Source organism: Homo sapiens, chromosome 10, assembly GCF_000001405.40.
Source record: "Homo sapiens chromosome 10, GRCh38.p14 Primary Assembly".
In the NCBI taxonomy this organism is placed as follows: Eukaryota; Metazoa; Chordata; class Mammalia; order Primates; family Hominidae; genus Homo; species Homo sapiens.
In genome coordinates, this window is record NC_000010.11 from 73,512,303 (window position 1) to 73,531,643 (window position 19,341).

Genomic DNA, 19,341 nt, shown 5'->3' on the forward strand with positions numbered 1-19,341 from the left:
TAATTTTCTCAGTCTTTGTAGAGATGGGGATCTTACTGTGTTGCCCAGCTGGTCTTGAACTCCTGGGCTCAAGTGATCCTCACACCTTGGCTTCTCAAAGTGCTGGTATTACAGGTGTGAGCCACTGCACCCAGCCTGTCATGTCACTTCTTAAGGACTCAGTTTTTAAACCAAGGACTCTAACAAAAATAAAGACTAGTTTGATTTTACTTTTTTTTTTTAAGAGATAGGGTCTCACTGTGTTGCCCAGGCTGGAGGAGAGTGGCTGTTCACAGGCATGTGCTCATAGCACACTACAGCCTGAAGCTCCTGGCCTCAAGTGATTTTCCTGCCTCAGTCTCCCAAGTAGCTGGGGTTACAGGCATGAGTCATCATGCTCCGCTTGATTTGATAAATATATTGAGAATAGATTGACTACTAGATAGATTTTTAAAAATTTGTTTCTTTACACTACTAGACAAAAAAATTAATGGTCAGTAAGTACTCTTTCATACTGTTTTCAGAAGTATAGTCTTCTTCAAAGCTAACTGGCCAGTATGTATCAATATTTTTTTTAAGTTTATAACATTCAAATTAGTCAGGTATGGTAGTGCATGCCTGTAGTCCCAACTACTCAAGGGGCTGAGGTGGGAGGATCTCTTGAGCCAAGAAGGTCAAGGCTACAGTGAGCTGTGATCATGTCACTGCACTCCAGCCAAGACAACAACATGAGACCCTGTCTCAAAAATGAAAAAAAAAAAGTTTATAACATTCAACTAGTTATTAGTCTTCTAAAAGGTTATTCTAAGGAGCTCATGAGAAACGTGACCACTTAAGTGCAAAGATATTCAACACAGTACTATGTTATTAAAAATTACAAGTAAGCCAGGAGCGGTGGCTCACCTTATAGTCACTTCTCACTTTATAGTCCCAGCACTTTGGGAGGCTGACGCAGGCGGATTACTTGAGGCCAGGAGTTCGAGACCAGCCTGGCCAACATGGTGAAACCCCTTCTCTACTAAAAATACAAAAAATTAGCCAGGCTTGGTGGCACACGCCTATGGTTCCAGCTACTCGGGAGGCTGAGGCAGAAGAATTGCTTGAACCCGGGAGGCGGAGGTTGCAGTGAGCCAAGGTTGTGCAACTGTACTCCAGCCTGGATGACAGAGCGAGACTGCCTCAAAAAAAAAAAAAAAATTGTAAGTAACCTAAATATTCAACAATAGTAGGATGGTTGAAGAAATAAATTACAGTACATTCATATGAAACACTTTATAACCATTAAAGGTAGTTTTTACAGCAAATGCTCACAGATATAACATGAGAAAGTCATGATACTAAACTGTATACATATAGTGTAAAGGATACTGCTTTTTGCAAAAACAAAACTATATAGTACATGTGTATAAAAATGAAAACCAAAGGTAAGCTTATGAAAACATTAAGAGTGAGATTATCAGTGATTTTTGATACTTTATGTATTTTCAAACTACCTGCAATGAAAAATGTTGCTATTTTGGGTAATACAAATTTTTTTTTGTTTTTGGTTTTGAGATAGAGTCTTGGTCTGTCGCCCAGGTTAGAATGCAGTGGCACAATCTCAGTTCACTGCAACCTCCACCTCCTGGGTTCAAGCAATTCTCCTGCCATCAGCCCCCCAAATAGCTGGGATTACAGGTGCCCGCCACCATGCCCAGCTAATTTTTTGTATTTATAATAGAGACAGGGTCTCACCATGTTGGCCAGGCTGGTCTTGAACTCCTGACCTTGGGTGATCCACCTGCCTCGGCCTCCCAAAATGCTGGGATCACAGGTGTGGGCCACCGTGCCCAGCTAATTTTTTTGTGTGTATTTTTAGTAGAGACGGGGTTTCATCATGTTAGCCAGGATGGTCTCAATCTCCTGACCTCATGATCCGCCCACCTCCGCCTCCCAAGTGCTGGGATTACAGGCATGAGCCACCATGCCTGGCCTTATTATTCTTAAAATAATTACTTGTGGCCTGGCACGGTGGCTCACGTGTATAATCCCTGCACTTTGGGAGGCCAAGGCGAGTGGATCACTTGAGGTTAGGGCTTCGAGATGAGCCTGGCCAACATGGTGAACCCCATCTCTACTAAAAATATAAAAATTAGCTGGGCGTGGTGGCACACACCTGTAATCCCAGCTACTCGGGAGGCTGAGGCAGGAGAAGTGGCCTGAACCCAGGAGGCAGAGGTTGCAGTGAGCTGAGATCACGTCACTGCACTCCAGCCTGGGCAACAGAGCGAGACTCTGTCTCAAAAAAAAAAAAAAATTATTTGTGTATTCTTGCTTCCTTAGATAGAAAGCTCACTGAGGCAGACTCCAGCTTTCCCTTATTCTTTAGATTCTTCCCATATCAACCAGTCCTATCAAAGACCACCTTAGTAAATGTTATTGTAAAATCTACATTAGGATACGGATCCTCAGAAATGTATCTTAATATCAAGTCTTAGGACAGGCACGGTGGCTCACACCTTTAATCCCAGCACTTTGGGAGGCTGAGGCGGGGGGATCACCTGAGGTCAGGAGTTCAAGACCAGCCTGGCCAACGTGGTGAAACCCTGTCTCTACTAAAAATACAAGAGTTAGCCAGGTGTGGTGGTGGACGCCTGTAATCTCAGCTACTTGGGAGGCTGAGGCAGGAGAATCACTTGAACCCGGGAGGCGGAGGTTGCAGTGAGCTGAGATCACGCCATTGCACTCCAGCCTGGGCAACAGGAGTGCAACTCTTCTCAGAAAAAAAAAAAAATGAATAAAAAATCAAATCTTATATTTATGTGGTATTCCCCTCAAAGGCTCTGGAGAACACAGTAAGTACTCAATAAACACTTACTCAACTGTAATTATATGTTGGTTGTCAGCATGCAAGGAACCTGCACCATTACAGAAACTGTCACAGCCAAGCTAAGGAAAAGTTCTCCAAGTTCAATTTCACAGAATCATACATGCCATTTTAGAGTTAGAACATATCTTTTTTTAAAAAAAAAGCCAGTTCTCTCATTTTACAGGTAAAACCTTGGCCCTGGGATATTAAGTGACTTGTCCAAATTTATACTGAGAGTTAATGTTGGAATCAGGAAAATAGTTCAGGCTTTGGAGTTAAGTGCATCAATGTAAGTTACAAACATTCTTCATGTCTTCAATTTCCAGAACTGACTATGATGTGCACTTCAGGTGCAGGCTCTACTCTTCACTCTGTATTATCTCAGTCAGTGGCTACCCTGTAGGCATATAGTACATTAAAAATTCCTTGAACACCAAACTTGACTTTTCCTAAAGGGATCAGGAAGGTCTTGATATTGCTGGTTCAGTATGATCTGGAAATGTCCACACTGAGCATATGGACATCCTACTGCAAAGCAGACCTGGAGGCTGAATCTTGGGATTCTAAGCCATAGAAGAATATATTTTCCTCTCAGCCTCCCTCCATTTCATGCTGTCATGCTGAATCACTCTCAAACACCTATGAACCATTCTTTTTTTTTTTTTTTTTTTGAAACGGAGTCTCATTCTGTTACCCAGGTTGGAGTGCAGTGGTGCGATCTCAGCTCACTGTAACCTCTGCCTCCCGAATTCAAGTGATTTCCCTGCCTCAGCCTCCCGAGTAGCTGGGACTACAGGCAAGTACCACCACGCCCGGCTAATTTTCTGTATTTTTAGTAGAGAAGGGGTTTCACTATGTTGGCCAGGATGGTCTCGATCTCCTGACCTTGTGATCTGCCCGCCTCGACCTCCCAAAGTGCTGGGATTACAGGAGTGAGCCACCGTGCCCGGCCCTGAACCATTCTTTAGCACAGCATACTGGAGAAGCCATGGGCAAATACTTAGTAATCTCTTACTTTAGAAGGAGGGAAGTTGCCTATGAGTGGTAATTCTGCCCCTTCCTCCACTCTAGCCAGAAAAATGTCTAGGTCTTGTCCTGAAGGCTTTCTGAGTAAAGTCAAAAGTTCTATTACCTCCTACTAAGCTGGGGATAGTATCTGTATAGAACACTCCCTTCTGATCTTTCCCTGCTTTCAGCTTTTATATGATCCTCCCCCCTCCCCCCAACCCCTGGTTGCATTCTTACCTGTTTGGCTAAGTGGGTGCCAGGCGGTATCCTGCTGCCCCCATCCAGAACAGCCAGCTTGAGAAGCCTGAAGACTGGCCTGATACAGAGACTCCAATTCTGAGGTCTCCTGCTCTGTGTCTTGGTTCCAATGTGGATGCAAAAGGATGTGATTTCTCTCTGGATAGGTTACACACGTATGGGAATCATGAGGGGAGGACTTCATTCCTGGCCTAGGTGCCCCATGCTTAAGCTGAGAATCACAGAACCTTGTGATATTCACCCAGGAATCCAAAGGCAAGGAAGTCCCCAAGTCAGTACTGCTGCCCAGATCCTTAGACCTAACATCTCTCACTTGGGACAGCTTCTCTTGGTATATGTCTGGCTCTGCCAACCTGGGCTGTCCTCCGCTAGAAGTTTCACCATTAGGCAGCCCAGAGTTTAAGGCAAGAGAAGAATGTTCAGTGGACTCTTCCCAGGAAAGTGGTCTATCCCCACCCTCCAGAGAGGATTGTTGCTTTGCCCATGGCCAGTGGCCTTTCTCTTGACCCTGTGAGAAAGGAGGCTTAGAATCAGAAGGGGAAGAGTTCTTCCTTAGACTACCTGACAAACTTCTATCCTTGAAACCTGTACTATCCCTCATGGAGACACCCTGCATCCTCTGGAACTGCTCAGCCAGAGAACGGACAAGCCCCTTTGTGCTGGGAAACTCTGGCCTATAGGTCTCCTCACTGCCTCTGTCCACTTTTAAAGTCAATGAAGTTTTGAGGCTTTGGCCTTGGAGGCATTGGTTAGTTTTCTGCACAGGATCAGGACAGTGAAGCACAAATGAAGAAGCAACAGGCATTATGGGGTGGCAGGTTCTATACAGGGGAAGGCTGGGCTGAGCTGATGAATTTGAAGGACTACAGCCTAGGCTGTGTTCATCACCCCTCTCAGAGGTGGCTATTCCAGGCATCACCGGGGAGGGGTTAGCAGGATCCTTCTTTTCTTGGAACAGCTGTTCTTGAGCAATGCCTCTTCCTTCTTGTGGAGGGAGCTTGCTGCAACTGCTGTTGTCACACCTAGAGCCTTGCAGCTTACCCTCTGGGGCATCCAATGGCTCCCAACTATGATGAGAATTCTTCTCAGTCCACCCTGGTGCTTTAGGTAAACCTTGCCTGTGGAATGCAGAGGGTTCAATGTTGTCTACTTCAACCGAAGTCAGAAGCTTCAAGGCAGATCTACTGGGGGAGCTGTGCTGTGGGGCAGATGACTCTGGAGATAGTGATGAGTGTGACTCATGGCAGGAAGCAGGTGAATGGAAGAAAGAACTGGCCCCAAACTCTGTATCCATGCCGGATTCCAGTTGGGCCTCTTGGCTTAACAATACTTGGAGCGGGATAGGCTGTTCACTGAAACAAATGGAGAGAGCTAGTCATAAGCTGCCTTGACTGACAGGAACACTTACAGAAAGAACTCAACATTCCATTCCCATTTCTAGCTATTCACACAGGGAATGGTAAAAATAAACAGAAAGACAAGCACAAGTAGAGTCAGTAGTTCAGAGGATCACAAAAGAAAAGGCACATGGTCAGCTCACACTCAGGTAAATAGGTAACGTTAATCCTCTTTATTAAACACCCTCACCAAAGTTGCACAGTAACATTAAGTGGAGCCCTTGCCAATATTCTTCACTACCTGTGAAGTCGCATTCCAATCACATTCTACTTGCAAATTAGGAAACAAAATCAGCTAGTCTCACATGCAGATGACATGGAAGGTAAGCAAAGCCTGAAAATCACTCATACCAAACAGCAAAAATCCAGGATGCTATACAGGGAGGCAAGTCCTACCTGGGGTCCTGAGAGGCAGCCCGGCCAAAGGAACTATGAGGCCACATTTACAAAATACAGGGTGATTTGGGCTCATGGGAATACACAGAAATTAACCATTTCAAATATGTTTTTATAATCTGGATTTTGTTCTATTAGTCACTGAGATGTTTCCCCAAAGCAATATGACTCTCTTGAGATTTAGGAGTAGGAGTAGGGATTAACTGTATTTAGTTGGTTTCTCACTAATTGTTTTGTATTTCTGACTTTAAAAACTTAATGTTACAAGGACTTAAATAAAGCCTCGATCACTCACATACATCAGGATGTATACGTTTTCTGGAAACGGTTTACCTATCTAAATTGCTTATATTCAAAACAAGCCCCTAAATTTGAATGAAAATATACTATCAACTTTTGAGGATATAGTCACCCAGTCACCCTTATAACATTATGGAGAATATGATTTACTAATATGGGAAGCCCAATCATACAAGGCAATATTACATAATGGTTAAGGACATGTGCTTTAGCATCAAATAGACCTGCAATTTTTTTTTTTTTTTTTTTTTTGAGACAAGGTCTTGCTCTGTCACCCAGGCTGGAGTGTGGCAGTGCCATCACGGCTCACTGCAGCCTTGACCTGCCGGGCTAACCGATTCTTCCACCCAAGCCTCCTAAGTAGCTGGGACCACAGGTATGCACCACCATGCCCAGCTAAATTTTTTGTGTTTTTTGTAGAGACAGGGTTTTACCGTGTTGCCCAGGCTGGTCTCAAACTCCTTGACTCAAATAATCTGCCCTCCTCGGCCTCCCAAAATTCTGGGATTACAGGCGTGAGCTACCATGCCTAGCAGTTAACTATTTTTGAACATTTGCCTTTTGAACATTGAACCCAGGAGGTTGAGGCTGCAGTAAGCTGTGATCGTGCCACTGCACTCCAGCCTGGGTGAAAAAGCAAGATCCTGTCTCCAAAAAAAAAAAAAAAAAAAAAATGTTAACTGCTTTTACTAATTTATATTTTGAAAACTACTCAGAATTATTAACGGTCCAAATTAATGTTTATTTAAATTCATCTATTCTAAGTAAAAGCCAAATTCCAGGGCTAAGATGTGAGAACTACAACAATGACTACTGGAACTTCTTTCCTAGTCCTGACCATAAAGAAGCAAAGCAAAGGGAATCTTTGTGTCTCTTCTCTATGGTGCAATCAGAGCAAGAAAGACTGCTTTCTCTGCTTCCATAAGGATAGGAAGCACTGAAATCCCAAAATAAATCACATGGTAGCTACTACAACATGAAATGTAGCCTGGATTGCCATGTCTAAGAACATAATATATACAAATATAATAATCGCGTTATTACACAAGTCCAGGGCTAAAGTTACCCATGGGAAATGTGGACAAATGGTCTTATTATGCTGTACTTTTTGCATCCTAGGAATTATTAAGATAAGGACCAGCAGTACAATGAGCTTTTCACTGTATGTCTGACCTGAAAGAAGAAAATCTTTTCAGAGGACTCCTCTCTCCCCTTCAGTCGCCAAGACAATGAGAGCTCTTGCTACAGAATACTCATGGTCATTTCTTCCCCTGGCATTCATAAACTAACATGGTTCCCAAGCACTACCTTGTTGGCTGAGAGAGAGTCCCCGCCTGTGTTGGGAGGCAGGCTGAGGGCTGCGACGGCTGCTGTGGTGATTGCTGCTGCTGCATGCGATCCTGCAGGCTCCGTGCTTTTCGAATACTGATTTGCAACTTCTTATCGACTAGGGCTCTGCTGTGCGTGCTACAGCTGGCACCATGCAGGGCAAGTCTTAGTTTAGCTAAAATGCAAAAGAAAATATAGCAGAAACAGAACACAAAACACAAATAAAAATAAAAAGAATAAAATTGAAAAAAAATGAGCAAAGATATGCAGTAAAACTCAAAATATGTAGCAGGAACGCAAGGCATGGACCATGCATATGCTGTCCAGGGCACACAGCTGCCTCTGGCTATAAGGAACATTGATGGAAGCCATGGAGGCCAAACAGGTTAATCCAAATTAAAAAAACAAAACTAAAATAAATCAAGAAGATAAACCAGTGCCTCCATCTTAGAGATTGCCACTCTTGTCCTTTGCATCTGACCTGTCTGACTCTGGTCTCCACACTCTACTCTCACCCCTCTCTTCCCAATGGCCAACAGCAGAAATAAGATCCAAACCTGCATCTGTCTTTATAGACCACAGCTTCTTGTGGGTCACATACAAGAAGCTGATACCAATTCTAAGCCTTAGTCTCTTGCTGTAAGTTTATGGTGCTGCATACTATGAAGGTAGGGGAGAATCAGAAAGAATCAAATACTGAATTAAAAAGTCACAGGCCTGGGAAGTCATAGCCAATTTATTCAGTTTTCCTTCTATAAGCTCCAACCCACTAGCCAGTGACTAGCAAAAGAGCAGACTAATTTCACATCTGAGGTCTAACTTTATCCTGAAATAAGAAGGTAGGCATGACTGGAGAAATCATCTATGGATTCCTTGCTGAGGTTATTCTGGTAAATATCCATAGGCCACAGTGCCAGTGCCAGGTACACTTAGAAATCAAAGGGCAAAAACAGCTAACGCGACTCAGTTTGGGAGAGCAAGAGTGAGGAGACACAAAAACTGTTTTTATCCTGTCTGAGTGACAACACTAATAATACCTATTGTGAAGTTAGTCAAAAGTGCCACAGCCATAGCAGTTAGAGTTACTTACAGATAGCTTCATTACAGAGAGCCAAAGCTGCAGCACAGTCTCCTTTCTGTTCCAGATGTAGTGACTCTTCAAACACTGACTCTGCCTCTTGCAGGGACCTCTCAAAGCCGTCACTCCTCCCTGAAAGGGCCAGCACTTTTCATTTTCATTACAATTCATTCCAAATTTTCCTGTGTACTGTTGTTTCCCTTCAGTACACAGAGATCCTTGCTGCTGAGCCACTGGTCTACCCTTATTCCAACTGTCTATTCCTATTAAGAATTATCTGAAAACAAGCAGGACATCCATTTTGCCTTAACCAAGATGTTACCAAGGCCATGAAAGAGAGGCATGCCATTAATGGCCACATATTCTAACACCAAGACCCTTAGGAAGTCCCTCAAGGAAGGAGCTCCAGTGGTGCAATCGGTTAGCGCGCGGTACTTATATGACAGTGCGAGCGGAGGAAGTCCCTCAAGGAAAGAACAAAGTAATAGCAGAAGGTTAGGTTCTTATGCCCGGAATTGAACTGCTCTTTCCCAGTGCAATTCTTGCCAACTAGTGTCAGAACACCCTAGATGTCAACTAAGACGTTCACTGCTATGTTATGGCAAAGGTAGCTTCATTATTCTGTGGACAGCCATTCATACCACTTATTTACTTCACCAATTCACAGTCCTCTATGCACCACCCTAAACTGGAAAATCAGTGCACTTCTTGGTCACAGATGGTCTACACTTCCTAATCCAATGTATCTGCCAGGGCAGTTGAACTGCCTTCATTCCTGGTTTGCATATACATACTTGTCATAAGCGTTGCTAAGTATTTACTTTCATCATGCTATTCCTCACCAAAACTACCCCCAAAGAAGTCACCTTCCCATACAGCAAGCAGGGAATATTCCATCCTCCTCTCAAAGTGAATGTGTGCCAAAGCAGGTGCAGAAGAGTCTAAAAACAATACCGGATGAAAAGGCTAGGAAGTACAGGCAGAAAAATTTTTGTAAAAGAACTCTCATGTTTATGTATCCCTTGCCCTCTACTTACTCATAATCATACATTGGCAGCAAGCTGTAATGTAATTTCACCTACAAATGGGATTGCCAGTGAGCCTTCACAAGGTTGCAGGGAAAAAAAAATGTCTGAGTCACTTCTCCCATAATGTCCCTCATCCTCCACTTACCTCCAGCAGGACATGGTAAGAAAGGCTCTTCCACATCCCTAACATTCACTTCCTAATTCATCATGACTTTTTGAGAGCAATGGGAAGACAATGGAAACAGCAGGTTGGTTCTGAAGAACTTGGCACTCAGGATCCACTCTATCTCTAGAGGTGTGGTTTCCCTTACTCCCCAGACCTGAAGTTCTCTCATAATATTTGTAATCAACTAAATGTATACAACCTTTATAATCAGAGGTAGGGCGTAGAGCCATTTTTTTTAAGTTCTCTACTCTATGGAGATCTAGACAAGCTATAGTTGATCAATCACTGTACTAAATTTTAATTCTTATCCTTCAGAATCTTAGCATTCCATTCCTTGCTCATGCAGGAAATGCTGAACCACAGTGTATAGAGAACTGACAATGAAATATTGCCAGTGGGATCTCCTCCTAACTTTAATCTATTGCCCAACTGGCAGAGAGAGAAAAAAAGGAGAGAAATGACAAGACCCCTTTTTTCAGAAGCAAAATAAACCTGGGACACCAATGTGATACAGCTTGAGGTCAAAAAGGGAAAAAAGACTATCCAAATATAGAGACAGCTAAGTATTAGGAATTTAAAACTAATTTGGAAACTAATACAATGTCTTGGGAAATATAAGGCAACAATTACCTTGAATCAAAAGAGAGTAGTATTAAAGGAAAAAAGCTGCCCCCAAACAGGATTACTTGGCCCAAGAAGATTCTCTAAGTGTATATAAAAAGAGAAAAGTGGTCAACAGAAAACAGCCAGCAAAGTTAAAAGCTTGCACTTACAAACTGGGACCTTCATACTGCTTTAGCACAATTTGTTGTAAGTGGGGTTTCCGAATTATAAAAACAATAAAGTCATTTTATAGGAAAAAAACTAAGATATATGGCCTATTTAAGGTAGATACTTCAGCTTGGCTGAACTATTTTGAAGGCTAGTCTCTTTTGGTACAAAGTGACATCCTAAAAAAATTCTAGGAAGAAAAAAAGTCTAACATGGGGCAGTTGTGGAAGTAAAGTCCATGCAAATTGTTTGAGGTTACAGAATCAATTGTCATGGTATCAAAAGTAAACTGGCTTTGTTCTTGCTCCTGTTTGGCAGATCCACTTCCCTGATGCTCCAGGTGGAATATTTCATGGGTATGTTTCTTCCCAGCAAGTAGAATTCCCCTCACTGTCAGTGTGGCTCACTGCCATTTTCAGCTATTTCTGACTCAAGGCTAGTTTTATTTACACCTTCAACAGATGTTCATGGGAAACATTATTCATGAACGATATACTATCTCTAATCTATAGGCTTTTAATAGATGTGCCCCAAATCAGTGCCTATCTCCAGTCAATAGTCTTGTCACATCCTACTCTAACTTGTTCTCACTGGAATGGGTGAATTAAGACTTAAAAAATTATTTTGCTAAAGAGAAGACAGGGAACTTACAAGCTTAGATGTTTTTTTCTACCCTTTCTGTCTGTCCCCATCACCCACAACCTAATGCTCACAACAATTACCCTGATTCTGCAGTTCATCCAAGTCCATGAAGCGGCTAGGATGAGGGTTAAACCCTTTCGCTGCCTCTAACTCCTTCTCCCGTTTTCTTCGAAGTTCCTGTTCCTGCGCCCTCCTGGCCACCTCTTCCTGCAATTCATCCAGTTCACTTTTAGAAGATATCTCCTCACCTGTAATATAAGCAAGGGAGAAGTCACCACATTTCCATTACCAAGACTAAGTACTTGATGAATTTATGACCACTGCAATACTTTCCTTTTGGAATTCTTGCTTTCAATTTGGAGTTTATTTATTTATTATTTATTATTATTATTATTATTATTATTATTATTATTATTATTATTTTGAGACGGAGTCTCACTGTGTTCCCAGGCTGGAGTGCAATGGCGCAATCTTGGCTCACTGCAACCTCCGCCTCCCGGGTTCAAGCGATTCTTCTGCCTCAGCTTCCTGAGTAGCTGGGACTACAGGCACATGCCACCAAGCCCAGCTAATTTTTGTGTTTTTAGTAGAGACGGGGTTTCACCATGTTGGTCAGGCTGGTCTCGAACTCCTGACCTCGTGATCCACCCACCTTGGCCTCCCAAAGTGCTGGGATTACATACAGGTGTGAGCCACTGCGCCTGGCCCAATTTGGAGCTTATATTTTGGATAATGCTTTCCATAATTAGATTCCGGATGGCACTTGGGCCAGGAATAATAATAATAATAACAACAGGCCGGGCATGGTGACTCACGCCTGTAATCCCAGCACTCTGGGAGGCCAAGGCGGGAGGATCACCTGAGGTCAGGAGTTTGAGACCAGCCTGGCCAACATGGTGAAACCCCGTCTCTACTAAAAATACAAAAATTAGCCAGGTTTGGTGGCAGGCGCCTGTTATCCCAGCTACTCGGGAGGCTGAGGCAGGAGAATCACTTTAACCCGGGAGGTGGAGGTTGCAGTGAGCCAAGATCGCGCCATTGCACTCCAGCCTGGGAGACAAGAGCAAGACTTCGTCTCAAAATAATAATAATAATAACAACAACAACAACAACATTTATGGAGTGCTTCACAACAATAGTATTACGCTGAACATTTGTTCAGCACTTACTATGTGCCAGAAACAGTTTTAAGCATGTTTACATGTATTATTTCATTTAATCATAACAACAACTTATGAGGTAGATACTATTACCCCCATTTTAGGAATGAGGAAACTGAGTCACAGGAGGATAAATAATTTGCCCAAGGTAAACCAAATGGGAAATAATGGAGCTAAATTAAAGTCAAGTAGGTTAAATTCATAATCATGCTCTAATCATTAGAGAACACTTTCTACCAGGTGCTGTCACTGACTGACTGGGGAGCTTCAAGAATGTCATTTTCTCACCCTTAATTTCCACCACCTCTTTGAATTTGTAAAATGTCCACAGCAGTATAAGTCCAATTTTATAAACCTTTCTAGATGGATCTAAATAGATCCAGAAGGATGTCCATAATAAATTAAGTGAAAAATTGAGAGAATAACATGCATAGTATGACTTCATCTTTTTAAAAATGGTGCTTACCTATATATATATGTACATAAACTTATCTATGTACTTGTGTAAGCATAGAAAAAGACAGAAAGATATATACCGCAATGGTAACACTGGCTCCTTCAATTTCAGGAGGCAAAGGGCAGATTATTGAATTACTGGACTTGATTTACCCCTGTAGTTTTTTAAAGGAGTATGCAAAGTTACCATATAAGAATGTTTGTTCTGTGTCTTAATAAAATGGTTAGATCAAATTGTGGCGCATAAATAGGGCTTATTATACAAACAGGATGGTGGGGTGATATGGTGTGTGAAGAATCTTGTCATAACTCCTTGCTAATTATCTTTTACCAGTTGAAGAACGCTGTTGGTGAATTCTATCCAACTGGTCCAGAATTGAGGACTATTCAGGAGATCATGAGACTCAGTCATTAGTGTAATTAAAAAAATGCTGGCTATCTGAAGAGAAGGGAGAATAGTCTCATGCACGATTCACAAGTTTCTTGAAACAATGTTATTCAACATGAAATAAATTAAAATGTGGGGAATAAATCAAATGTATAATTACAATGGGAAGCCCAAATGTCTTCCACGTGTCTCTAACTATAACTTACTAGAGCCCAGGATTCCAGAGATATCTGCCTCTATAGGCATTGTTCTGCTCTGCCAGATGTCCACAACCTTTAGTATACATACCTAAAAGGGTTCATGCCTTTTTACTACTGCTGCTGCAGGCCTTTCTTCCTGCTACCTCTAAGAATTGTCAGTAACTATCAAGAGAATTGGTAGTAAGACTAAGATATTTAGCCAGGGGTAAGGATAAATTTGAATTGCTTATTTCCAAGTTTTGCAAATAGCCACATGTACCCCTTTGGTATGTCAATTCATAATACTAAACAATAAGAAATCCATTTCCCAAGAGGCTGTCCCTAATCCAAGGAAAGCCCTAGGATTTATTCTTCTGAAGAATGGGGATGTTAGTAACACTGTTCACCATATTTCTGTCCCTTCTTGCTCCCACAAGGGCTCCCTCCAGGTAGAAAGAAATATTCATGCAGGCTGTGATGGAGAACAAAAAATAGATAAATCCAAAGATGGAGCAACTGAAATGACTCTACATTTACATTCTGATGGAATACTCAAACTGTAACTGTCCTCTTTTTTTTTGAAATGGAGTCTCACTCTGTCGCCCAGGCTGGAGTGCAGTGGCACGATCTTGGCTCACTGCAACCTCCGCCTCCCAGGTTCAAGCAATTCTCCTGCCTCAGCCTCCCGAGCAGCTGGGACTACAGGTGCACGCCGCTACGCTGGTTAATTTTTTGTATTTTAGTAGAGACGGGGTTTCACCATGTTGCCCAGGCTGGTCACGAACTCCTGAGCTCAGGCAATCTGCCTGCCTCGGCCTCCCAAAGTGCTGGGATTACAGGTGTGAGCCACCGCGCCCGGCCTGTAACTGTCCTCTAATTTCAAATGTGCTCAGGTAAGTCTGGTCCCCAGACAAAACTGCCGGTCAAATCCAGTCCTCAAATTCAGTGTCATTCTGCTTACCAGAGAAAGGCTGACTCTTTGTCCAGCCACCCATGGATGCTGTGGAGTCTACCTCCAGGATGCTACTGCTGTGCGACTTTGGGATATGACGCCAGGAAGGAACCAACCCAGCTGATCTCTTAGCACTTGGATCCCTTCAAAAGAGAACTCAGAGTCTAGTGAAAGCATGAAAGCAGGTTATAGCAACATTCCTAGGACTAAATCTCTCTCTCAAAAAAAAAAAATCAAACTACACAATTAGAGCTTCTGCTAAACTACTTCTGAAGAATTGAAATATCCACTCATTCTCCTATCTAACCTCATCTCACCTCATTCACAACTTGTGCATCTAGCACAGTATCTGGTACATAATACATATTCAAAATCTGTTGAATGTACTAATGAACATATTGGTTTCATATTTATTTCCTTCTTTCTTACTAAACCTTTGTAGCATCTTCTCATAAGTAAAACTCAACAGGATCCTGTGGACAGGGAAGAACATTGACAGAGTATGAACATGTGGTTATCACCTTTGTAGAAGATATAATCATGCTTTTCAAAGCAGCTCTACTATTAGAAAAATTGCCTTGGCCAGGTACAGTGGCTCATGCCTGTAATCCCAGCACTTTGGGAGGCTGAGGCAGGCGGATCATGAGATCAAGAGATCAAGACCATCCTGGCCAACATGGTGAAACCCCATCTCTACTAAAATTACAAAAATTAGCTGGGTGTGGTGGTGGGCGCCTGTAGTGCCAGCTACTAGGGAGGCTGAGGCAGGAGAATCGCTTGAACCCAGGAGGCAGAGGTTGCAGTGAGCCGAGATCGTGCCATTGCACTCCAGCCTGGTGACAGAGCGAGACACTCCATCTCAAAAAAAAAAAAAAAAAAAAGAAAACAGAAAAATTGCCTCTGTGGCAACTCAGTAAAAATAATGTATGGAGATTTGAAAGTTATAAAGCAAACTGAGCCCTATGGGCAGGGTACAATGAGTGCTAATAAACTGTCATCATTATTATGAATATTATTAGCATTATAAAACACAAAGTCCCAGTGACCCTAAAACAAATCAAAATAAAAACTATCCCACCATACTGGGTGTGGTGACTCACACCTATAATCTCAGTACTCTGGGAGGCTGAGGTGGGTAAATCACTTGAGCCCAGGAGTTCAAGACAAGCCTGGGCAAAATGATGAAACCCCATCGATACCAAAAAAAAAAAAAAAAAAAAAGCAACGACAACAAAACACTGTCCCAAAATAACATTTGGGCTTCTTCTCTGATTTTAGTATTACATAAGTTTTAATTCACTAATCCATTCTTTTTGAGATGGAGTTTCGCTCTTGTCACCCAGGCTGGAGTGCAGTGACGTGATCTTGGCTCACTGCAAACTCCGCCTCCCGGGTTCAAGTGATTCTCCTGCCTCAGCCTCCAGAGTAGCTGGGACTAGAGGTGCGCGCCACCATGCCCAGCTAATTTTTGTGTTTTTAGTAGAGACGGGGTTTCACCATGTTGGCCAAGATGTTCTCGATCTCCTGACCTTGTGATCCACCCAGCTCGGCCTCCCAAAGTGCTAGGATTACAGGCATGAGCCACCGCGCCTGGCCCACTAATACATTCTTTTTTTGTTTGTTTGTTTTTTTGAGATGGAGTTTCACTCTGTTGCCCAGACTGGAGTGCAATGGCACGATCTTGGCTCACTGCAACGTCCACCTCCTGGGTTCAAGTAATTCTCCTGCCTCAGCCTCCCAAGTAGCTGGGATTACAGGCTCCCACCACCACGCCCGGCTAATTTTTGTTTTTGTATCTTTAGTAGAGACGGGGTTTCACCATGTTGGCCAGGCTGGTCACGAACTTCTGACGTCGTGATCCACCCGCCTCGGCCTCCCAAAGTGCTGGGATTACAAGCGTGAGCTACTGCGGCAGGCCTAGTCCGTTTTTGTTTCTTTTTTTTTTTTTTGAGATGGAGCCTTGCTCTGTCGCCTAGGCTGGAGTTGCCATGGCACGAGCTCGGCTCATTACCACCTCCACCTCCTGGATTCCAGCGATTCTCCTGCCTTAGCCTCCCAAGTAATTGGGATTACAGACGCCCACCACCATGCCTCACTAATTTTTGTGCTAGCCTGGGATTACAGGCGTGAGCCAACATGCCTGACCTAATCTGTTCTTTAATACATTTTTTTACTGTGTATATTTAAGGTATACAACATGATGTTATGAGATACATAGAGACAGTAAAATGGTTACTATAATTGAAGGAAATTAATATACCCATCATCTCATATAGTTACCCATTTTTTTTGTTTTTGTGGCAAGAGGAGTTAAAATCTACTCATTTACCATGAATCTCATATGCAGTACAATTTTATTAATTGTAGTCATGTTTTACATTAGATCCCTAGACTTGTTTATCCTACATATCTGAAAAATACAGAAATCTTCACAAATTTTTGTGCCACCTTTGAGCAGGAGCCATGCTAATCTTCTCTGTATTGTTCCAATTTTAGTATATGTGCTACCAAAGCAAGCACTAAACAATTATTTCATTATCCTTAGCAAACTAAGACAGGAACAGAAAACCAAATACAGCATATTGTCACTTATAAGTGGGAGCTACATGGTGAGGACACATGAACACACAGAGGGGAACAACAGACACAGGCCTATCGGAGGGTGGAGGGTGGGAGGAAAGAAAGGATCAGGAAAAATAATTAGTGAGTACTAGCTTAATATGTGGGTAACAAAATAATCTGTACAATGAACTCCTATGACACAAGTTTATCCTAACAAACCTGCACATATGCCCCCTGAACCTAATTTTTTAAAATTATTTTATACATGATAACTGTATTTCAAATAGAAAGTTCTCTCTCCTTTCTCAAGTGCCTCTGTTCTTCCAGCAGAGGGTGCTGTTGTTATAGGAAGTTGAAAGAGCACATAGAGATAATAGCAAAGGCCATCCCTCCACTTGTCTCAGCCATGCCTGAAAGCCCCAAGTAGGTGGCTCACATTGCTGCAAGAGACAATGTTGCTGTTCAAAGGCCAAACAATACCTGTAGACATTTGAGCTCTCAGGCAGGGCTGCATCCAGGCTGACAGGGCTGCTGCTGTTCCTCTCACTGCTTTCATAGCCAGATTCCATTCGCTGGATTAGTCGGGGGTGCTGCTCTAAAAGGTGAGAGCCTGGCCGTGCTGGGCCCCAGCGCTTGTACTGGGGGCTTGGTCCACCAAATTTAATGTCGTAAGAAGGTGGCTTGCTTGGTTCATCTGGTATAAATTCTTTAGCTATCCCAATCAAAAGACAGGTATGGAAAATGAGGTAGATTTAGCATTTGCCTAAAATCAAGACCTAACTAGCTCCTCCCTCTAGCTACTTATTCACTGAACTCATATCCCTAAAACACCCGACATCAGAGTAAAAGTGCCCCTTGCCAGATGTACCAAAAAACCCAGGTTTTAAAAAGACATAAATCAACTTTATTCAAAAGCCCAATTCTTCCCTAATTATCTCCTCACCTGAATCCTCAGAAAAGGGGCTAAGCTGGGTATAGCCACAGTGCTTCCTTTTGTCCTTACTAAAGATACTGTCAATATTCAGAGATTCTCGTTTGGGTCTCCATGTGGGACGATACTTGCTGGAAGAACTGGATTTTGACTCACTGCTGGTACTCTCTATTTCCCAGTCACGAGAGTGTAAAGGCAGGGTCCTAGGAGGTTTTTTGTCAGGCTGGTCTCCTCCTCTGCCCCTGCAGTGAGAGCCTACATTGGTCTGAGAAGCCAGGGATGGTCTGTTATGGATCATATTGCTGACTGTCTCTTTAAAATCTCTCAGCCTGTTGGTGCTGCTGGATGGTTTGGAGGCATTTCTAGGAGCCTGCTTCTCTTTCAGTGTTTCTCCTAAAAACACAAAGAATGAAAGAAATATAGATGTTTAAAGTGATCATGGATACTAGACCCCAATGTCGAAAAAGCAAAGAAAAGCCCTCTGAACAGAAAGGAGAAGCCAACAGTCTGGAGCATGACAGAAGTTTGATAGAGTGAATGAAGGAGAAAGAGAAGCAGTGCAGAAGGGCTTGCCTTCACTGTGGTATCCCGAGGCCTGGGGCTCATCGCCTTTCCTCCTAACCCGACCAGAGCTCCTCTTGCGCTCTATCAGTGACCCTTTCTTGGATGTGTGTTTCTGATTACATTCACTATCAGTCAGGTGTCCTGAAAAAACAAGGAAATTGGGGTAAGCTGGTATCTGAGACTAACCTCCACCCTCCTGAGAACCTACCTAATCTCCCTTTGGGAGTGCCACAAATTTAGAGTACCCATGGAACAGAAGCTGTAGGGCATAGGCTATCTGATTTCAGTGTAGGAACCTCCCAGTAGATAAATGCAGAGAAGGGCCAGGTGCAGTGACTCACACCTATAATTGCAGCACTTTGGGAGGCTAAGGCGGGCAGATCACTTGAGGCCAGGAGTTCGAGACCAGACTGACCAACATGGCAAAACCCTGTCTCTACTAAAAATACAAAAATTAGTCCGGCATGGTGGCATGTGCCTGTAGTCCCAGCTACTGAGAGGCTAAGGCATTAGAATCACTTGAACCCAGGAGGTTGCAGTGAGCCGAGATCACGCCACTGCACTCCAGCCTGGACGACAGAGCAAGACTGTCTCAAAAAAAAAAAAAAAAGATAAATGCAGAGAAGCTGGGAGCATCCAAATTTACAATGTCTCCTGAGCAATGACCAATCTCAATCCCACTCCTAATCTTCCCCAGTGACCCAGAAGGACTAATGACATGTTTCTAGGTAACTTTTTAAAGGCAAAAGTTTTAAAGATTATATAAAAATGTCAGGTAGCCATATACTTTCACTCTCATAAATTGAAGACAGAGTTTTCCTTTTATTTATTTAGCAACACATATCAAATAAAGTCTGATTTTCAGTACATCTGGTATTATCCTGGATACTCCAGACTTTGCCCACAAGAGGTCTGATTTTATATGGCTTTAAGACCCAGTTCCAAGCTT

At 42.9% G+C, this 19,341-nt stretch overlaps 1 protein-coding gene and 1 pseudogene across 27 annotated transcripts in view, besides 2 other annotated features; both read right to left on the bottom strand.

The window, feature by feature from the left end:
• Positions 1 to 19,341, bottom strand: part of USP54 (ubiquitin specific peptidase 54) — a 128,444-nt gene that overhangs the window by 14,765 nt on the left and 94,338 nt on the right. For 18 of the 27 annotated variants that reach the window (NM_001391951.1, NM_001391947.1, NM_001391948.1 and 15 more), the window contains 8 exons: positions 18,402 to 18,533; positions 17,841 to 18,221; positions 17,378 to 17,609; positions 14,345 to 14,478; positions 11,281 to 11,448; positions 8,606 to 8,725; positions 7,495 to 7,690; positions 4,073 to 5,445 (listed from right to left, as the gene is read on the bottom strand). In NM_001391951.1, the coding sequence (NP_001378880.1) occupies positions 4,073 to 5,445; positions 7,495 to 7,690; positions 8,606 to 8,725; positions 11,281 to 11,448; positions 14,345 to 14,478; positions 17,378 to 17,609; positions 17,841 to 18,221; positions 18,402 to 18,533 (2,736 nt within the window). Of the gene's footprint in view, positions 1 to 4,072; positions 5,446 to 7,494; positions 7,691 to 8,605; positions 8,726 to 11,280; positions 11,449 to 14,344; positions 14,479 to 16,886; positions 17,610 to 17,840; positions 18,222 to 18,401; positions 18,534 to 19,341 lie in introns of those variants that run through there. The other 9 variants (NR_146998.2, NR_146997.2, NR_165443.1 and 6 more) reach the window with 3 other exon arrangements.
• RNU6-883P (RNA, U6 small nuclear 883, pseudogene) lies at positions 16,749 to 16,855 on the bottom strand (annotated as a pseudogene).
• Positions 17,129 to 17,423: an enhancer, noted in NCBI's record as "tiled region #13746; K562 Activating DNase matched - State 25:Art". NCBI's record gives its function as "activates a minimal TATA promoter and a strong SV40 promoter by Sharpr-MPRA in K562 cells {active_cell/tissue: K562}" and the evidence as "EXISTENCE:reporter gene assay evidence [ECO:0000049][PMID:27701403]".
• Positions 17,280 to 17,379: a silencer, noted in NCBI's record as "silent region_2485". NCBI's record gives its function as "represses an Ori minimal core promoter by ATAC-STARR-seq in GM12878 lymphoblastoid cells {active_cell/tissue: GM12878}" and the evidence as "EXISTENCE:reporter gene assay evidence [ECO:0000049][PMID:35858748]".